The sequence below is a fragment of the Homo sapiens genome, chromosome 11 (genome assembly GCF_000001405.40).
Source record: "Homo sapiens chromosome 11, GRCh38.p14 Primary Assembly".
NCBI classification, from domain to species: Eukaryota; Metazoa; Chordata; class Mammalia; order Primates; family Hominidae; genus Homo; species Homo sapiens.
Window position 1 is genome coordinate 22,657,594 of NC_000011.10, and position 19,413 is coordinate 22,677,006.

At 36.0% G+C, this 19,413-nt stretch overlaps 1 protein-coding gene across 19 annotated transcripts in view, besides 1 other annotated feature; it reads left to right on the forward strand.

Annotated features, from left to right (window-relative positions):
* The window catches only part of GAS2 (growth arrest specific 2), a 187,054-nt gene that overhangs the window by 31,592 nt on the left and 136,049 nt on the right, over positions 1-19,413 (forward strand). For 5 of the 19 annotated variants that reach the window (XM_011519971.4, NM_001351224.3, NM_001143830.3 and 2 more), the window contains exons 1-2: positions 9,018-9,306; positions 17,257-17,421. In XM_011519971.4, coding sequence (XP_011518273.1) covers positions 17,277-17,421 — 145 coding nt within the window. In that variant the 5' untranslated portion in view covers positions 9,018-9,306; positions 17,257-17,276. The other 14 variants (NR_147085.2, XM_047426744.1, NM_001391934.1 and 11 more) reach the window with 9 other exon arrangements.
* Positions 9,098-9,257: a silencer, noted in NCBI's record as "silent region_3206". NCBI's record gives its function as "represses an Ori minimal core promoter by ATAC-STARR-seq in GM12878 lymphoblastoid cells {active_cell/tissue: GM12878}" and the evidence as "EXISTENCE:reporter gene assay evidence [ECO:0000049][PMID:35858748]".

Here is a 19,413-nt window from a genome sequence, read left to right on the forward strand (position 1 = left end):
TAAACTCTAAATACAAACAAGGCAAGGAAAACAGAGAAAGTAATAGGGAAGAAAAAAATAACATGTTTGCTCCTGAACAGAAGATTGTTTACAAGATTATTTTCTTCTTTTAACCTGCAGGGTCATGACTACCGTACTTCCTCACACTCCTCTCCAGGTCTTTTGTTGTCAAAAGGGGCAGCTCACTTATGTGAGCATCAAATCTTGGCCCACAATCATATATTACTTTTAATGCATTTTATTAGAATTTAAATTTACTTCACAATTTAGTAATGAACTGAGTCTCCCACACAGTTATGCAACAACTGGTAAACAATTAGAACTATTTATAATTTCTACTTTTGTTTAGGAATTCACCAACATTTGGTGTTAGAAATTTAAAACGATCCAGATGTATTGGTGGAATGTAGGCAACTGAACACAATTTGCTTTTTTTTTTTTTTTCTTTTTTGAGATGGAGCTCACTCTGTCACCCAGCCTGGAGTGCAGTGACACGATCTCAGCTCACTGCAACCTCCACCTCCCAGGTTCAAGTGATTCTCCTGCCTCAGCCTCTCAAGTAGCTGGGATTACAGGTGCCCACCACCATGCTCAGCTAATTTTTAAAATATTTTTAGTAGAGGTGGTGTTTCACCATGTTGGCCAGGCTGGTCTCGAATTCCTGACCTCAGATGATCTGCCCGCCTCAGCTTCCCAAAGTGTTGGGATTACAGGTGTGAGCCACTGTGCCTGGCCTTTGCTTTTAAAAGACTCAATTAACTTGGATTTACCCTCTTCCTGTGCCCACTGACCACACAATAGATCCCTCTAGATATCAGATAGGTATCTCAAAATTAACTTGTCTAGGACTAAAACCCTGATTTTCATTCCACTGAACATGAGACAAAACAAAACAAAGCAAAACAACTTCTTCCCATCTTTCCCACTTCATTAAATGGCAGCATAATTTTTGTAACTGCTTATCCAAAAAAAATCTAGGGGGTTTCCTTGTCTGTTTCTCACACCACATATCCATCTATCAGCAAGTCATAATAAAATCTAAATCATAATTTTAAATAATGAACACGAATGATGTAGTTTTGTAGAGTAGGATTGAATGCTCACATAATTCACCTGCTTTTTTAGAACATGGGCATACTGAGAAGAAAGAGTGTGAAGAAAAGAGAAAAGAATAACCACTCGAAAGATCTCCCTGACTTTTATCTCCTCTCCTCTCATTTATTGATTCTGCCATAGGAGTTTGGATCATAATCCTGAAAGATGCAATTCTAAATGCCATAAATCTGAATGTTGAAATTACGAAAGCCCAATTGTGGGGATGAGATTAGTGTGTTTTTGGTTGTATGCAGCATAGTTGCATCATGTTAGTAGTATCATGTTAGGCATAAGTATGATTTTGTTATTGCCTCTTTTTGGAAATTAAGTATAGTTTTAAGGAGATGCATATGGTTGCTAAATTGACAAGGAGTAGATGTGTGAACTTAGTTTTACATGTGTCAATGTGACTGGATTAAGGAATACTTAGAAACCTGTTCAAGTTTTATTTTGGGTATGTCCATGATGGTGTTTCCAGAGGCGATTAATGTGTGAAACTAGGTGGTATAGGTAGGGAAGATCTTTTACTATTAGCTCTGATAATCTAATCCAACTCTGAATCTTGATTGGTATGTTCTTATTCTGCATTTTATTTTGAAGTCAAATTTGTTTGACTCAATTCCTAGTCAGCTTATTATTAAAAATAAAAATGCAACCCCTCCCCTTTAAGAGGCACTTTCAGTCTCCTGGCTATTCAGCCCGCTTAGGCTTGGGAGCTAGTTAAAAAGACATCTTCCCTGACCCCCATCTATCCTCGACTGATACCAGATCCAAAAGAAAAGAGATTATTTCTGTGTAGGATTTGAAACCTTCTCTTGACTTTTCCTGGTTAAAAGTTTTTCCTCAAAAGCCTTCTTCGGTATTCTTTTCATGAGTTCCTTCTCATACTTCTGTGAGGTATTTGACTTAATTCTCTGTGATGTGGAATCTTCACCACATGGGGCAGCTCATCTGGCTTGGAATTAGGATACCTGACAGAAACTTATTTCTTTTCAAAAATGATTTTTTTTCTCAAATAATTTTATTATCACATTTTAACTTTTAAATATAAAATCTTTCTAGTTTTTATCTAAGACATTTTTAAAAATGATATATAGACTCCTGACACCTCCTTATAAAGAAAGAAAAAAGCAAGGATAGAAGGAAGAAAGGAAGGAAAAGAGAGAAGAGAGAAAGGAAAAAATGGAGGGAGGAAGGAAGGAAGGGAGGGAGGAAGGGAGGGAGGAAGGGAGGGAGGGAGGGAAGAAGGAGGGAAGGGAAGGAAAGGAAAGCTCTGTTGCTTCAAATAAGTTGCTTGAAGTTGCTTCCCATTTGTGTTGGGAAATGAGCATATGTTCAAATCAGTCAGACTCAGGCATGAGTTTAAATCTTACCTATGCTGCTTAATAGATGTGTGTCATTAGGTAAGCTTTTTAAAAACCATTTTTGCTATTGGAATGAGCTCCCGGAAAGCAGGGAATGTGACTTCATTTTGATACAAGTGCCTAACACAGAAGAGGTTGGAGAATAAATGAATGAGTGACCCAACAAACCATGAAGCCACTGGATGTCTAAAGAGAGTAAAATGGAATGTTAGGAAGCGAGGAGGGGAAGACTCAGAGAAGGGATGTATAAGATTCTCTGAACGTTTGTATTTTTAATGCTGCTAATATCTTTATCTTAGGGAATTGTTGTAATGAGTCAATAAGAATATTTAGGTACTCACTTAACAATAACATACCTAACATTCATTTAAAACTTGCTATATGCCAAACAGTAAACTATTTTACATGTATTAACTTATATAACTCTCAAGACATGCCTATGAGAGAGTGGTATTTGTTAATCCCACTTTACAGATGTGAAAACTGATAGTTGAAAGGTAAAATAATTTGCCTGTAACTTTTAGCAAACAAGCAAAGAAGCTGGAAGTGGACCCTGCCTGATTTCGTCTGTGACCAAATCTGGACTCCAGATTACTCTGCTAAATGTAGTGACTACGATATTACAAATTTACTATGCCTATTCCTTGACAGCCTCTGTGGGGATGATGGCTGGCGAAACTTCTTTGCAAATGACTCTAGAGACTAAGTGACTACTGTGATCATAGCAGAATGGCAATATTCCTTTATGCTAAGAAAAGCCCCACTGACACTGACCCTATTCCCAGGCAGTTCTCTCACTTTGGGCTTGGAGTACTGCCCTTTTATAGGATGCTTCCTGATCCATTATTTGGAACTACCAAAATGCTTTAATGAGATCATTTTAAGTGTCATATCTTTAAGTGCTTTGTATAAATCAACAGTTGGAAAATATTCCGTATTTGTGAACTGTGTTATAGTTACAATAATGGAAGTTTCAGCAAACCTCTCATTCTTCAACAAAGTAATCCTAAATTTGAAATTATTAGTGTACTTAAAAATCAATGAATAACTGGAGCAATATCTAACTGCAAGAGAATCCCAAGAAATGTGATACTAAAATCTCACTTATAAGTAAATTGTGCTAGTAATAAAGATGCAAAATTAATAACTGGTATTGTCTTTACAGAGGGATCTCCATTTAATTTTCCTTTGATGAGCACAGTTCTTGCTGAATCCCGTCTATCACCCAATGGCACCCACTTTTTCCTCCCTTGGATATGCAGTGGTTTTATGATTTATTTATTTATTTATTTATTTACTCAATTATTTGGCAACCTTAGGCTTGGTATTGTGATAAAGATTTGAAATATAAGGATGAATAGTCTAGTCCCTACTCTCTAGGACTCACAATTTGGTAAGTGAGATAGATGCATAAACAAATAACTGTGATACTACATTATAAGTGAGAAATAAAAGAAATAGCAAAGTGCTCAGAGCACTGGACATAGAGTCACAAAAAATATCTCTACCAGAGAGATCAAGAGAACCACAAAGAAGGTGACAATTAAGCTTTCCCTAGAAGAGTGAATCAGATTTCTTCAGAGGGAGACAGTGAAGGTAAAAGATCATTTTGGTTAGCATGAGGAAAGGCATGGAGGTGTAACGGTATAAGATGTTTGGGATGTTGTGACATTACATTGCATCAAGTCTACCAATAACAATATATAAACATATCTGTTTCATACTTTGTAATGAAACCATCTGTTAATTGAGACCTTACCTCACTTTTTATTGATTTTCCCCTTAGTTTAGTTTCTTTACAGTCAGATTTTTTTAAAACTGTAGGTCATAAAACAAATTTAGCAGCTCTCTAATAGCATTTCTTTAAAATTGAATAGCATAGAAGAGACTATAATAATGTCAAGTAGAAAAATATCAGAGTGCAATATAATAGTAAAGTACGTAATGTTTTTGTGAAACATACTTAGTTTATTTGTGTCTAAGTGTTCTATGTGTCTGTTCCATAATGTATTTCATATTGTGGGTCACAATAAAAATTTGAAAGCCACTGCAGTAGTAATATTTTCTATTGCTTTTCATTGCACTCTTGTTATATTGGCTATGATTAAACCTTGAGTCCAAATGAACCTAGGTTTTTAATGAAGTGACAAGTGACACAGACTGACCTCATTTATAAGCCTGGCACACAGGCAAGCATCTGTTTTAGTGAACTCTAGTTACATTTTACCAGATGAAATGCTGCTAGCTTGGGAGTGAAACTATCATTTGTAATGTTATTTTAACATTGCTTTTCTATTCTGGATTCTAAACTATTAAATTAGAGACAATATATAAAGATATAACCAATTAGTTGTATATTTTCTAAGACACCAGCTTCTAAAATAATCATTCATTTCTTTCAACAATTATTGAGTGTCTACTATATGTCTAATGATATTCTACATGCCAGAGATGTAGTGGTGGAAAAGACAAGAAAGGTTGTTGAAATAAACATATTTTACATTAAACATTTATATTATACTTGAGGTACTTGTGATTAAAGTAACATGACATAGACTTTTTTAAGATTTAGAAGCAAACTACAAGATAAAGAAAGAAAGAAAACTTAAAAAAAAAACACCTTCAACTTAGACAACAGACGTCACACCACAGAAGGTACTGCATAGGATATTTAAAACTAGATGAGGCAGGGTGTGGTGGCTCATGCCTCTAACCCAGAAACTTTGGAGGGTTGGGGTAGGGCATCATGTGAGGCCAGGAGTTTGAGACTAGCCTGGGCAACATAGTGGGACTGTGTCCCTGGGCAACATAGTGGGACCGTGTCTCTGCAAAAAAAAAAAAAATAAAAATAAAAAATTAGCCACAGTTGGTGGCTGTGTTAGTCTGTTTTCACTGTGCTATAAAGAACTACCTGAGACTGGGTCATTTATAAAGAAAAGAGGTTTAATTGACTCACAGTTCTGCATGGCTGGGGAGGCCTCAGGAAACTTACAATCATGGGGAAAGGCAAAGGGGCAGCACGGCATGTCTTACATGGCAGCAGGAGAGAGAGAAAGAGAGAGGGGAAGTGCCACCCTTTTAAAACCATTAGGTCTTGTGAGAACTCCCTCACTATCATGAGAACAGCATGCGGGAAACGGACCCCATGATCCAGTCACCTCCCACCAGGTCCCTCTCTCAACATTTGGGGATTACAATTCTAGATGAAATTTGAATGGGGACATAGAGCCAAACCATATCAGTGGTGCTCACTTGTGGTCCCACCTACCGTGACACTGAGATGGGAGGATAGCTAGAGCCTGAAGGTCAAGGCTGCAGTAAGCCATGGCAACGCCACTGCAATAGCCCTTCTCAAAAAAAAAAATAAAAAAATAAAAAATAAATGAATAAAAGTAGATAAGACAAATGGCATATTTCACAAAATGATTTTTAATCTATTTCTTATGTAAAAATTAGAAAACATATGCTTATACCTAACACAATTTGCCAGAAAAAAATGAGTCTTGCACAGGAGGGAATTAATATTTATGCTACTGTTGTGTTGTACTTAAAAAGTTTAAAGTTCTCCACTGAGAGTAAAGTAATAGATTTTTTAAATTGCATATTAGATGGAGAGTAAACCTTGAACTTTACATATGAAATTTCTTTGATTTATCCTTGTAGTTTTATATATGAATGGTGGTGAAAAGTAATAGCATTTATCGTTTAAAATTTCAGAAACAGTCTGTTTTTATTCGTAACACTATTTGTAATGACTATGCTAGGATTTATAAAATTTATTCTCTTTGCCTTATGACATTAAAAAACTATAATTCAAAATATGTCAATTGAAGGCCTTATATTATAGACTAAGATGCTAGGTTGGGAAAAATAAACATATTTGACCTCACTGAGGAAGTATGTCAACAAAATGTAAGTAAATGATTTAAGTTATTATTAAATATATGTCTTCATGTATTTTTTAATACCATTGCATGTCTTCATACTGCTTTCTGTATCATTATTCTCACTTGCTTCCCAAGCTGTCTTTTGTCATTTTTAACTGCTCCTTTGAAGCTGTTTAGGAATATAAGTCTTTCTTGGTCACTTCTGGAAATTTATTTTACCAAATTTAACCCAGTGGCTGTTTCCGTGTTATTTAATTTTTTCTCAAAGTGTCCTCTAACCTCAATCATTTATTGAAGGTTTGCTTCACTTTTCAGAGTGAGTACTACATATATTATTTTCATTTGGGAGAAGGACTAAGAGAGAAAAGGAGAGTTATCTACATAGGAGGGAAAAATAACGTGTTTTATTGATCATTTTTAAACTCAAAAAAGTATTTATTAGAGAAATGAGAAAATTCATGTTTGAGACAATGTTGAAAGTTTAGAATGTGGGACACACATAGTAATGCAGAAATTTCCCGTGTTAAAGTCCTCTAACTGTGATCACTTGAAAATAAAAACTAAACTGTTTAAATCTGGCTTGACTTCTTTTTAATGGTGTTAAGTTTCAAGGATGTATTTAAACATTTTTCATCTTATTGAAGTATTTGCTTCCTTTGCATTCACATTAGAGAAGCTATAGTTGCTTCAGTTGGACTACATTTTCCTAAGGTGAACAGTTTGGGTTGAGTCCACACTAAACTAAGAAAATACTTAGACAAAAGATTATCTTTGACAAATATATCAGTGAGTGATCAGAATATATAAATAGAAATATTGATTTTGAAAAACAAGATAAAAATCAAATGGGAATTTTTACATATGCTAAAAAAATTAAAATAAAAACACTGTATCCGTGTCTCTTCAGAAATCTTTTGTATTACTTCTCTTTTGTCACCAAAAAAAATATTCAGTACAACTCTTAGATGTTAATGAAAGAAAAAACACATTATTTATTTCTTCTCGTATTTTTCTTTTCGCTCTTTCTGAGAGACAGAGGATCTGACATAATGCAAAATTTAAGACAAAAAAAAAAATACCTGGAAGAAATGAGCATGGAGAGGGAGTAATTTTGAATGATTATGCTTTCCCAATTCCTCTGTAAGCCTCCTTTTTTTCCCCAAACTGTATTTAGCATTGTTCCTGAATCAACAAAAACATTGCCTTACTCTTAGCTTTTTATAACACCAATAATGAACAATGTGACAAGAATATTCATATCTGGGGAGAAATAGGATGTAAGATTTTGAAAGTTCAAGGTGCTAAATTTTTTGAACTCATTACATATTTGGATAATTCTTAAATTAGCATTTATTGGCTGATGATGTTTTGATCAGGAAAAATTATCAAGAACATTTGATTTTTTACTAAATTGTATGTGTTCAGACACTCAAAATTCTTTGTTGGGGCTCTAGGAATACTCAGATCTGATCACATTTTAAGAAATTTTATCATTCAGATTCGTTTACTAAAACTCATCAGTAATGAGTTCTGTATGTTTTGTTGTTATTTATGTTTATCCAAGCTGTTATGTTGACCTTTTAAAAATGCTGTTTCTCCTTAAAATTAAGAATAACTATTTTTCCCTTCTTTTAGAAAGCTAAGGAGGAAATGTGGACCTGATAGCTGCAAAAGCAAATTGAACTAAAATAAAAAGTTCGGAGTTCAAGGACTCCAAACTTTTCAATCGGTTTTCTCTTCTTCTTTATTAAATGTATTGCCACTAGAAGCAAATAACTGATGCAGTTTCTGCCAGATAATGGCAATAATAAAGGTGAAATGTGAATATTTTTTAAATTATATCTAAAATCATCCACATCATTTAGCTTGTGGATGTACAGGTAGTTTCTATTTGGGAGTGGGGCTAGGTAACTCATCATTATAAAAATGGTATCCAAGCAAGGATCACAATACCTGTACCACTGCCATTGTAAACATTGGATGGCAATATACATGAAACTGATGAACATGAGAACAAAACAAAATAAAAAGTGTAATACATTTTATTTATGCTCCATGGGAGGTGGTAACCTGTGGGGATCAGCACACTCAGCAAGCGGTCCCCGCGCATTAGAGGTGAATCAGACACTTGAACATCTGTCCACTTCATGGAAGACGTTTCATCTCAGAATACACGTACTAATAAACAACAGTTGGAGACAATTGTCTCTGACATTCAACATAATGCTGAGCTGAGGCTGAAAGAAGGAAGGGTGGAATTGTATTTCCTTTGGTAAAGCAAAAACAGCCGTGAGTACAGCCTCTTCTAAAAATCTGATATTTAAAGAGAATTGTAAGACATCAAAATGTTCAATTTGGAATGAAGAGTGGCCGAAGTTACTGGAAAGCTCGTGCCTCCGTCTGCAAAATCACTGGCCAGGAAAGCAAAAACTTTTCCAACACCCAATTTTAATATTGTGCTAAAGCTATTGACTCTGTTAAACCTCTAGAGTTAAATATGATCCCCTCCCCAGCCCCCACCTTTTCTCTCTTAGGTTAGTGTCTGGGGGACAAGGAGGGGGCTGGAGCTTGGCCCCAACCTCGGAATTGCTGCCAAGGGCTTGTAATACAATCTCTCCCCGTTTGAAGGGTAAATCAGTGTCAACTGCATTTGCGTCCACCAAAAAAAGTAAGCATTTTACTTCCGCTCGGTCTATGAGGACTGATGAAATGTAGGAAATCTGTTTCTGGCAGGGAGAAAAAATCGTTTTCCCAAACAGCACTAAAAGGAGCCATCAGAGAAGTATGAAGAGGGGTAGTGCGGCTGTAGCTGCTGCCGCTGCCGCCAGGCTGGTGGGGTGCGGGGAGCGGCTGCTGCAGGACCTGTGCCTGGAGGGGGCCGGCCCCGAGAAGCTGCAGGAGCCCAGCCCGGAGCCCAAGCGCCTCTGAGAGCCGCCAGCAGCCCAGCTCGGGACGCGGGGGTGAGCACGACTGGCTGGCCCAGTTCTGCGCCAACGCCGCCGCAGCGTGCGCGCACCGCAGCCGGGGCTCACGGGAGCCCCTGCCTGTCTACTGCACCCGGGGCGGCGGGGGAGGGGAGAGGTCATTAAAAAATAACCTCAGGAACGAGGCGGGGAAGAGTGAAGAGCCGCGGACAGTTGGACAGGCTCTTTCTCTAAGAGTGGGTATTCACTGCAGGGGGTGACTTTCTGATTCTCTGGAAACAACCATGTGTTCCTTATCCCTATTGCGGAACACCCCGGACAACCGCAGCACGTAAGCCCGCTGGGGTGGCTCTGCCAACCAGGGACAGAGTGAGGATTTTTAATGAACACATCGATTATAAATGCACACATATGCATTCGTGCACAAGAGTATCTGTAATGCATGCTCAGCATTGTCTGTTATGGTGGGGTGGGATAGAGCCAGAATGGTCTTAAAGGGCTGATCCTGAATGTTTTACTTGAGTCGTTGAGGCCAGGATGGGAGGAAAGAGCGCCACATGTGTGATCTGGGGTGATACTCACTGTGTCTGATGAGTTTGATGAAATTGAGTTTTATGTGAATAAACAAACGCTAGCCGATATATATCAACACACTTTGGGGAGATTTTGCGTGGTATCGTTCTTTTTGTTCAGTCCAAAGTTGAGACTGGAATCTGAAATTGTTTGGGGAACAAAGGAGGCAATTTTGCTTTGGAGACATTATTTATACTGGCAAAATTAAATTCTGTCAACTCAGTATGGTAAATTACCATTAACTTAGCCCAGGTATCCGAAGAAGTTTCCATTGTCTTGAATGAAGAGGGAGCAAAAGCGAGGGTTAACAGATTCTGTTTCTACATTCTAAAAACAATTGAGGTTGGGGGAGGGTTGTTAATTCTTTTCCCAGTTAACCTTTTTGAAATCACAGTCTTTACCCTCTCCATCTTCTTCATCTTCATCCTCTCACCTCCGTGATCTTCTTACAGTGAAGAGTTTGCAAAACTTTATTCTTATAAAATTATCTCCTCCAACCCTCTCCAACAAGGTTAGATCAGTTGTGTATGAGAGATCTTATGCCAAGGAAATAAGATCTGCTTGTGCACAGGAACACCCATTTGACATCCTAGTATTAAAATAAAGGCTTAGACAGTTTGGATGTACCAGCCTGGCAGAGGAAGTCCACTTTTCCTCCCCACGTATCCCCTGAGATTCACAGAGGCAAGGCAGAGAACAAGACCTGTGCTTCTTTACTCCAAACTCTTAGCAGTGTGGACACTGATTAACTGCAGCTGGGGTCTGATTTGCCCAGCCTGTCTTTGATATTGATCAATGAACTCCTTCTCAAGGAATGCTTTCCTCTAACTGCGGTGAAGGTGGTGGCTCTGGTGGTTCTCTCCAACATGGGTGTCTGGGTTTTGACTGCCTAAGAGAAGGTAAGGGACAGATGGATGAGGCATGGGACAGTGTGCCTTTGCAAAGCACATTGGAGACTTTGCACAGGGCTGCCTGAATGGTCCCTTACATGGAAAAGGTAGCTTGGATTTCAGCCTGAATGCTACTGAAGTTTGGGTTTATTTCATTACTTTATTGCTAAACACTATGCTGTGGTGTTATGGACTGTGCTTTACTGGGAAATAAGTTCACATGGCAAAAAAATATTTCACCAGGTGCAAAAGGTCATGTGATTGCCCTGGAATTTTTTAGCATCTTGGTTAGAAACTTCAGTTAAACCTCAAACTTTCGAGTATGGTGAAATACCTGGTCTTATATTAACCCTAAGTATGTTGTGTGTTACTTAGAAATCTTACTTCAAGACTGGAAGTCTGCATTGAAGACTCAGGGAAACTTTGGAAAACTAAGTTACCTTGGTTGAGAAGGCATGATGAGGCTGTAACTGTTTACAGAGAGACTTTTGTTTAAAACTGCAGGGCATGTTGTAAGGTTGGTTTGGTATCTTTGTGGTTTTGATATTAAGGTCCAAACAGGATCCAACTGTTTCTTTAAACCTGAGCAACTAGGAAGGTTTCCACTCAATGTTTTTTGACTAGAGAAATGAACTGGAGTAACAGTAGAAAATAATCTGCTGTCAAAATTAAGTAAGAGGCTTATGTAAGTTTCTGTATTAAATGTTTTCAGCATCAATACAATTAAAACTTTGCTAATTTTACTCCTTTATGTGAGACCATGTCACATATGTGTATATATTTCCACAGAATGTAGAACCCTGCTGGTTCTTAACTACATTATAGTTAACTAAAACAGAAATCTTTATATTAAAACAACAGAAAAGAATTTTCTCAACTTAGATAAAATTTTGATGTAAATCCTTAAATATTCTAGTTGTTAATATTGTTAACAATAGTCATTAGACTGTCATTAGACTGTCAGATGGTTTTCTATTTTAATTATGTTCCAAGCTAATCTGGTAGGGGTTAAAAAAACCTATGCTAAATTGTTTGGAAGGATGTTTTAGTATGATTTCTTTAAAACTTTAAAATATCCCTAACAACATGAAAATATAGAAAATCAATTCCCATTCAGGTTTTTTTAAATCATGATTTGAGAAGAAATTGTTATTTGTAACTACACCATCATTTCACCCAAGACAAATCAAGATGGGACTGTGGGATAAGAAAGAGATCTCTAAAAGAGAGTCAGCACTACACTAAATTAAGGATCACAAGAGCTGAGTAGGATACTTTTAATAATTATGACTAAACAGTCTTGTTACTGTGGGCAAAATATCCTCTTAGGCTACCAACCCCTTATTAATTACGAGGAGTTTGAATATATCGTTATTGTAAGGTTCCTTTCAATTTAAAGATTTTTATTATGGAATTAGATAAACTACCATTAAGTGTCATTTTGCTTTATGTTTGGTGCTTTTCAATTTGTGGATAAGTTGCTCTACTGAACCCAAGGTGGAGGTCCCATTACGAGGTCTGAAATTGCCTTTCTGTTGAAATTGTGGACTTTATTTTCTGATTAGACCTTTAGAGTAAGATTTTGTATCCATGACATTGGTTGAAAATGTATATTTTGTGAGATACTATTAATTAGCCAAAATGAATCACAAAAGAGTGAAGAACTCACAATGATGAAAGAGATATCTAGAACTTTCCTGGGTGGTTTATTCTTTGAGTTCAGCTAGGAAAATGGCATTTTCTCTTTCCAGATTTTGGAAGGGTATTCGATTTGGAGCACTGTTTATTTTTAATTTTAAAAGGTAACGTGATTGACCAATAAACTATTTCCTCAGTGTTTGACACCTGTAACACATGAAACTGAATAGATGTGGGGAACAATGCTGCAGATGACAGCAAAGATTACCTTTAGGGAGGAGACCTTTGACTGTGGGTTGATTAGGATTCATTGTTTTCAATGTTCACAGTTGAGTCTGTGTGTGTAGATGGGGTGGTGGTAGTGATGTCCTCTCACACTTACTTTGAGAGGTATATAGCATTTCCCTATTAACTGATTAATCATCATCTTAGGGGCAGCATTCTTCTCCATATGAAGAAAACTTGGAATAATCCATTATCTACTGTATCATTAATACATTTATTTGTTCTCCCCGTTGTCCTTTGTCTTTTCTTAATTATTTAGAGTTCTATAAAATATTCCTATTTTGTCACAGAATTGCTTTCCGTTTTGGGATAGGTCAATAGAAGTTTTATTTTGGCACATTTCTGATGGTGATCATTTCTATTTTGCTAATAAAAAACATATCGAATATTAAATATATGCCAAGCATTGGCACAAATATTTAATCCTCACAATTATCTTTAAGTTTTCAGCCTCCGTTGTATATAGTAGAAAACACAGGTACAAAGAGGAAAATTCATATGACTAGAATAGAGTAGCTACTAAATGGTTAGGTAGTGGACCTATTATTTGACCCTGGACTTCTGATTCCAGTTCCAATATTCTATCCATTATTCAGGCTTCTAAGTGAAATCTCATAGCCGACAGAAGTGTATATCATTTCATGTTTTTTGTCTTTCCAGTTGCTTTTCTATGTAATGTTGCAATGCATTTTCTCTAACATGTCAGCAAAGCCTAGAGATAAGCCAGAAATCATCTTGGTCATAGTCAAAGAACACCTCTAGGTGGCATGGAAGAATACTTTTTCTTCAGAGTCAAAACTATGATGTCTTCAGCTGGGATTCTGGGACAACAAACTAGACAGAGTCTTTAAACATGTGATATTTTACTTACAAAGTCATTATTTTTTTCTTTTTCTCCTGGGCTATTTCAAGTCTCATCATATTCATAATTGTTATTCCAGAATCACTTCTACTATGGAAAGAAAGAAAAAATATATACACACACAGTCTTTGAAGGATTTAGTATTAAGTTTCTGCATGTTTTTCTCTTGAAGTTTTATTTTTCTGGATTCCTAGACCTAAGGGTTGGTTATCCATTTTAGGTAGACCGAGAAAGCTTGGAGGAGCCATAGAAGTATTTGAGTACTTACTCCCCTTTTAAAAGTGATTGGCTTTGTTTAATAGTTACTAAAGTTACTTATCAAGCTTTTAAAATACTTGGACTATATACACTTTATTGGAAACATCATTCAGTGTTTAGGCACATTATACAAAAAAGTTTTTCTTTCTCCCTAACCTACTGCTTTCTTCAAGTCTAGTGGATCATCAGTCACTTTATTTCCCACCTTTTTAAAAAGTTACCCCTTGGCATCTCTTGTGGTTTTGAACACTTTTGAATGAATTCAAGAGAACTGAAATGATCTTTTTGTGTAGCTTGTTCTTTACGATGTAATTCATCTGATCCATATTGACTAAACACTTCTTTAAAAAGTTACAAGGAGGGTAAAATTCCATAGTGATCTTTTTATGGGAATAAGATAAATTAATTTGATCTTTCTTCACCACAATATAATCATTTTAGTTGGAAACTACTTCACCATGGGGTAAATTCTCCATACTCCAAATTTTGATCATGCTAGCTGAATCCATTTTTCATGTTTCGTATTCATGGATTAGCCAAATCTAAATCCAAGACCTGCAGGTATTGACTTTCAGCCAAACCGTTGAGTCATTTAAGTTTGGCAGTGATTTGAAATGTGAAAAAAAGGATCATGAGAAATTGGATTGAGAATCTGAATTCTTTTAAGAAGGGGCTTAAACAGAAGAGTCCTTATCTATGACAGTGACTTTAGGTTTCTACATATTTGACATATGTCTAATTGTGTAACTTCTATTGCATGTTAATTACTCACTAAGCCTTCTTTCTCTCACCTCTGTCTCCTGGGGAAATGTAACTGTGTTTTTGCTTTTTTCTCACCACTAAAATTTTGACTGTATACAAAGTAACAAAATAAAAATTGCTTAATTATTCTTATTGTTTTTACTTAATGTTCATCTCTAATTATTAGAAGGTAGTTTGAGTTACTTTTCTGGCAAAACACAGGACAGAGTACATGAGAAATAAATGTGCCACTGTCAAAGAAAATAAAAACTTCACTGTTTAGAGGTTTTGAGGGAAAGGATTGTGTCCTTCTGGCTCATTGAAATTGTTACATGCCATTAGGCTTACTGTAAACTATCCCTTGATAAATTATTTGCTGGACAATGAGCTTAAGAATCTGAGGTGTCTTCTTGCTTTTATAGAGCAAAATAGGACTCTGATGCTTAAATGGAAGTCACAGAGCACATAATAGGGTGTAGGTAAAGTTACTGAACAGCCACATCTCACTTTCAGGAAAGTAGTGGAAGAGATTGTGTCTTGAGAAGACAGGCATTTTAGAGGTAACCCTTTTAAGATTTCAATTAGTTATTTAAGTATATGAATCATGTGCTTATATGTATTACTTAAATGTTTCTGAGGCCAGCAGGCATATAGGAATCTTAACCAGCTACAGGGAGAAGTTTTGTTTTTCTAGGACTAGACATATTTTTTTTTTAACTGGGGCAGAAAATGCTTTGGGTTTTTCATGTTTAATCACAGAATTTGGAGAAAACTTTAGGACTTTATATGGATAACATCATTATTAACTATGAAATAATAAAAAGTGGTGTTCTGATTCCCATAATGACAATCTAATAATGTATGACAAGGTGTATTGAAAGCAGTTCACATTTTCAATGGTTGACTTTAGATAGATATATATAAGATGTTTTCAGAGAAAATTTATGGTATTTTTTTCAAAAATTACTCGACAGTAATTTAATTAGAAATGAAATTGTGCTTTTAAATACTATATTTATGATACCTTTTAGGTACTTACTCATACTCCCAACAGTCTTTTCTATTACTACAGCAAAATATTTGAGAGATGCTCCCACTTTGCATTTTTCTAAACACCAGTGTCTTATTTGTTCTTCAAAAGCAATATTTAAAATAAATTAACTTATGTTAAGTGAATTAGAGTTTGAGGTTAACTGGAAAGGAATACTGTGTAGAGTTTCAAATAATAAAACCAAAAGGAGAATATATTACTTATTGGTAACTTTAAAATGCCATAAATACTGCAATATCACTGAAAACCTCATGATATCATATAAACATTACCTCTTGCCTATTGCAAGTATTTTCATTTTCATTGTCATACAGTCATAATGCATCTGGTTATTTCATAAGCATATTTATATACAGCGTAGAATCCTGCATGTTATTAAACATGACTATTACATTAACTGCTTCATTAGTTCTTCCGTAGTCTTACATCCTATAAATAATGCATACAAAAGTGCTATATTCTGTCCGGGCATGGTGGCTCAACGCCTGTAATCCCAGCATTTTGGGAGGCCGAGGCAGGTGGATCACTTGAGGTCAGGAGTTAAAGACCAGCCTGGCCAACATGGCGAAACCCCATCTCTACTAAAAAATACAAAACAAACAAACAAAAATGCCATATTCAAGGCCAAATATATATTCAAATACCTTTTCTACAACCCAAGTAGGGGATTGCACTGCTCACAATATGATCAGGTTAATGAAAGCATCCTTGTTTTTATAGATGTAAGATATTTAAGTACTTCTACTCTAAAGATACTTTCAAACAAAACGCAGCATGTAAAACAAATAAAGTGGAAAGATAAAAAACAAGAAAGAGAAAGAGATTGTTGTAGCAATAGCAGAGGACAAACAAACACCTCTGGCAGCATTTGTTAGAACTATGATGCAGTGCTTGGGTTATCATCAATATGGGTTCTTGGCTATTCCATTTTGTAAAAATGTGTCATTACAGAAAGAGTAGTGGTCTTGGGAATATGAAGACTCAGGTTCAAGCCTAGTTCTGTCATGACCTAGCTGTATGATCTTGGTGAAGTCACTTATCCTCTATTTTTTTATTTTTTTTTTTTATTTTTCTTTTTTTGGTTTCTTTGACTGCAAGAGAGAAGTGTGGTAGAGAGTCTTTGGGTGTACCTCTTCCCCTGCTTCTCACCCAGTTCTCTAAATTGTGAGTCCATGATTGCTTGGCCGTCTCCAAAAAAGAAGTACTTTGCTTAACCTTTTAGGCTATATTTTTAAGGGTAATGATCATGTGTTTACAGTGAGTTGTAAAAATGCTGTCATTGCCAGTGTTCAGTCATAAAATTTGGTGAAAATCTATGGTTTTAAATAGCCCAAACAATGGGAGTTAACAAATTGGGCACTAACATTTTAACTTTTTCTCGTGTTTCAATATGTGGAATTTCTTGCTTAGAAGCTGGCTCTTTCCAAGTATATTGTTTCATACAAACTTGGAGTTTCTTGTTTGATTTTCTATTTGACCTTTGATTGCTGCTGTTTTCCTACTAAGTGTTTGGCCAAAAGTGAGAGGGCCAGTACAGATAAAGCAAATAGTGTTTCATGGGGTTAATAATTAATAAACTGAACTGTCATCAGAAAACCCGCGGATCCAGTTCATTATAATGTCATGATGACAACATTTTGTGAGAGAAGTCTGTATAAAAAGCAATTGCTCTTTTGTTTCCAAAACAGGTATTACAAGTGGATAAATAATGTGCACTGCTCTGAGCCCAAAGGTACGCAGTGGACCTGGCCTCTCTGATATGCATCAGTATAGCCAATGGCTAGCCAGCAGACATGAAGCTAATTTGCTACCAATGAAAGAAGATCTGGCCTTGTGGTTAACCAATCTATTAGGTAAGGTTATAAGATCTCATTTTGTGAGCAAAGACAACAGTTTTTGTTTTATTTTTCCTCCTGTAGTGTCCTTCACCTAAGCATGTGATAGCACCTTGGAAAGAAAGACTTTTATTATTTGACATTTGCATCTGGGAAACCTGAAGCAGGTGGAAAATTTAAGTGAATTTCCCAATGTCTGTCATATTAACTGTGCTTAGTAATTCCAATATGATGCACTCAAATGTGGAAATATGCAGTCAGATTGCTTATTTTATCTATATGCTGGTCTGATTTATTTTTGGCTTTTCTTTCATGCAGCTGACCAATTTGACCTACTCTTTTGACATTGTACACAGGCCACAGTGTCTGTAAAATCTGGCTTCTAAATCTGGATTTCTTTGCCCTACTTTTACAGCACACCTTCTAAAACTGCTGAATACCCAAACTCAGGAACAAAATCATGTATTCTTTTTCCAAATGAGCTGACTAGAGTCATCCCACCCTGAACTAAAATTTTTCTTTTCCATTTGCTTTTGTTTTTAAGGTCTAGTCTAACAGTACTTTTGCTGACCTCATGCTACCTCCTGGTAAAGATTCCTCTCCTTTTGTTGCTGTTGTGCTTTCATATTCCCAGGATAAAATTTCAACTATGTGAAAAATAGAATCACATGTTTAAAGGATCATCATATATAGCAGCACTATTTCCACTAAGTTTTTTATAGAGAATAAATTTAATTTAAATGTGAGAAAAAAGATCCCTGTAGACTTTATAAGATATAAGATTTGAGCATATCATTTGCAGGGGAGATTTCATCAACACTATTTTATTATTTAAATCATCTGTCAAGGTAAGAGTTGTTATCCTCATTTTCTAGCTAATGAAACTAAGAGCTTAGTAAGGTGCACCCTGTCCATCTGAAATTTTAGCAAGGTTTGGCAGAAGTTTAGCACATTTTATCAGGGTTTTGCTTGCTCTCCATGGCTCTGGATTTTTGCATGGCTTTTGTATTTATTTATTTTTTAGTCCTTATCCTAGGATTTCTTTATCCTATATTTCTTTTTTCTTCATGGTGTGCACACAATTTTGGCAACTCTGTAGTCTAACCAAGGCTACTGAATATGGGTATGTAAATTGTACCCTTCACCAACAGATAGGTCAGAAAAAGAAGAAGACACTCCCTAGAAAGACCCTTCACAGTGCTATGGAAGTGTCTCCCCCAGAAGGAAGGGGCTACACCTTTCAGTAATTGATTCATTCAGAGTGCCTTTTATCTCCATCAAGGAAAGGGAGTTATTTAAGCCTAAACAGATGGATTTTTCTCTCTCTTCTGTCTTTTTGGGGTTCACTAATGATTGTCATATTAGTAATTAATTATTAAATTTGAGCTATCAGTTTTCAGATATAGGCAATCACAAGTATGGTAGTGGAAAATAAAAGTTAAGAGCACAGGCGCTGGAAATAGACTGCCTGTGTTTGAACCCTACCTCTGCCACTTGCTAGCAGTATGATCTTGGGCAAATTACTTACCTCTCTTGTCCCTCATTTTCCTCATCTGTACAGTGGTAATAATAGTAGTAACTACTTTTTAGGGCTGCTGTGGCAGTGAATGATTAAAATATGTATAGTACTTTGAACAGTATCTGGCCCTAGTAAACACTATATTGTTGTTATTATTATTCTACTTATATAGTTCAGTGAAACTTAATTTGATTTTGTGCATAAATTTATTCTTTTTTTCAACAAACATTTGAGTGTGAAGCAGCATAAGCATTGGTAAAAAAAAGTGGACTCTGGAATAAGAATGCTTTCAATTCAAATCTTGGTTTTACCACTTATTATGTGATACTGGGCAAGTGTCTTATTGCACTGTGTCTTGGTTATATAATCTGTAAAATAAATACCATAATAAAACCAACCTTATGGAATTGTTGGGGGTTTGAATGAGATAATTGCCTTTAGAAGAAGGTATGGCACATAATCAAGCAGTAAATAATAACTATTGTCATTAT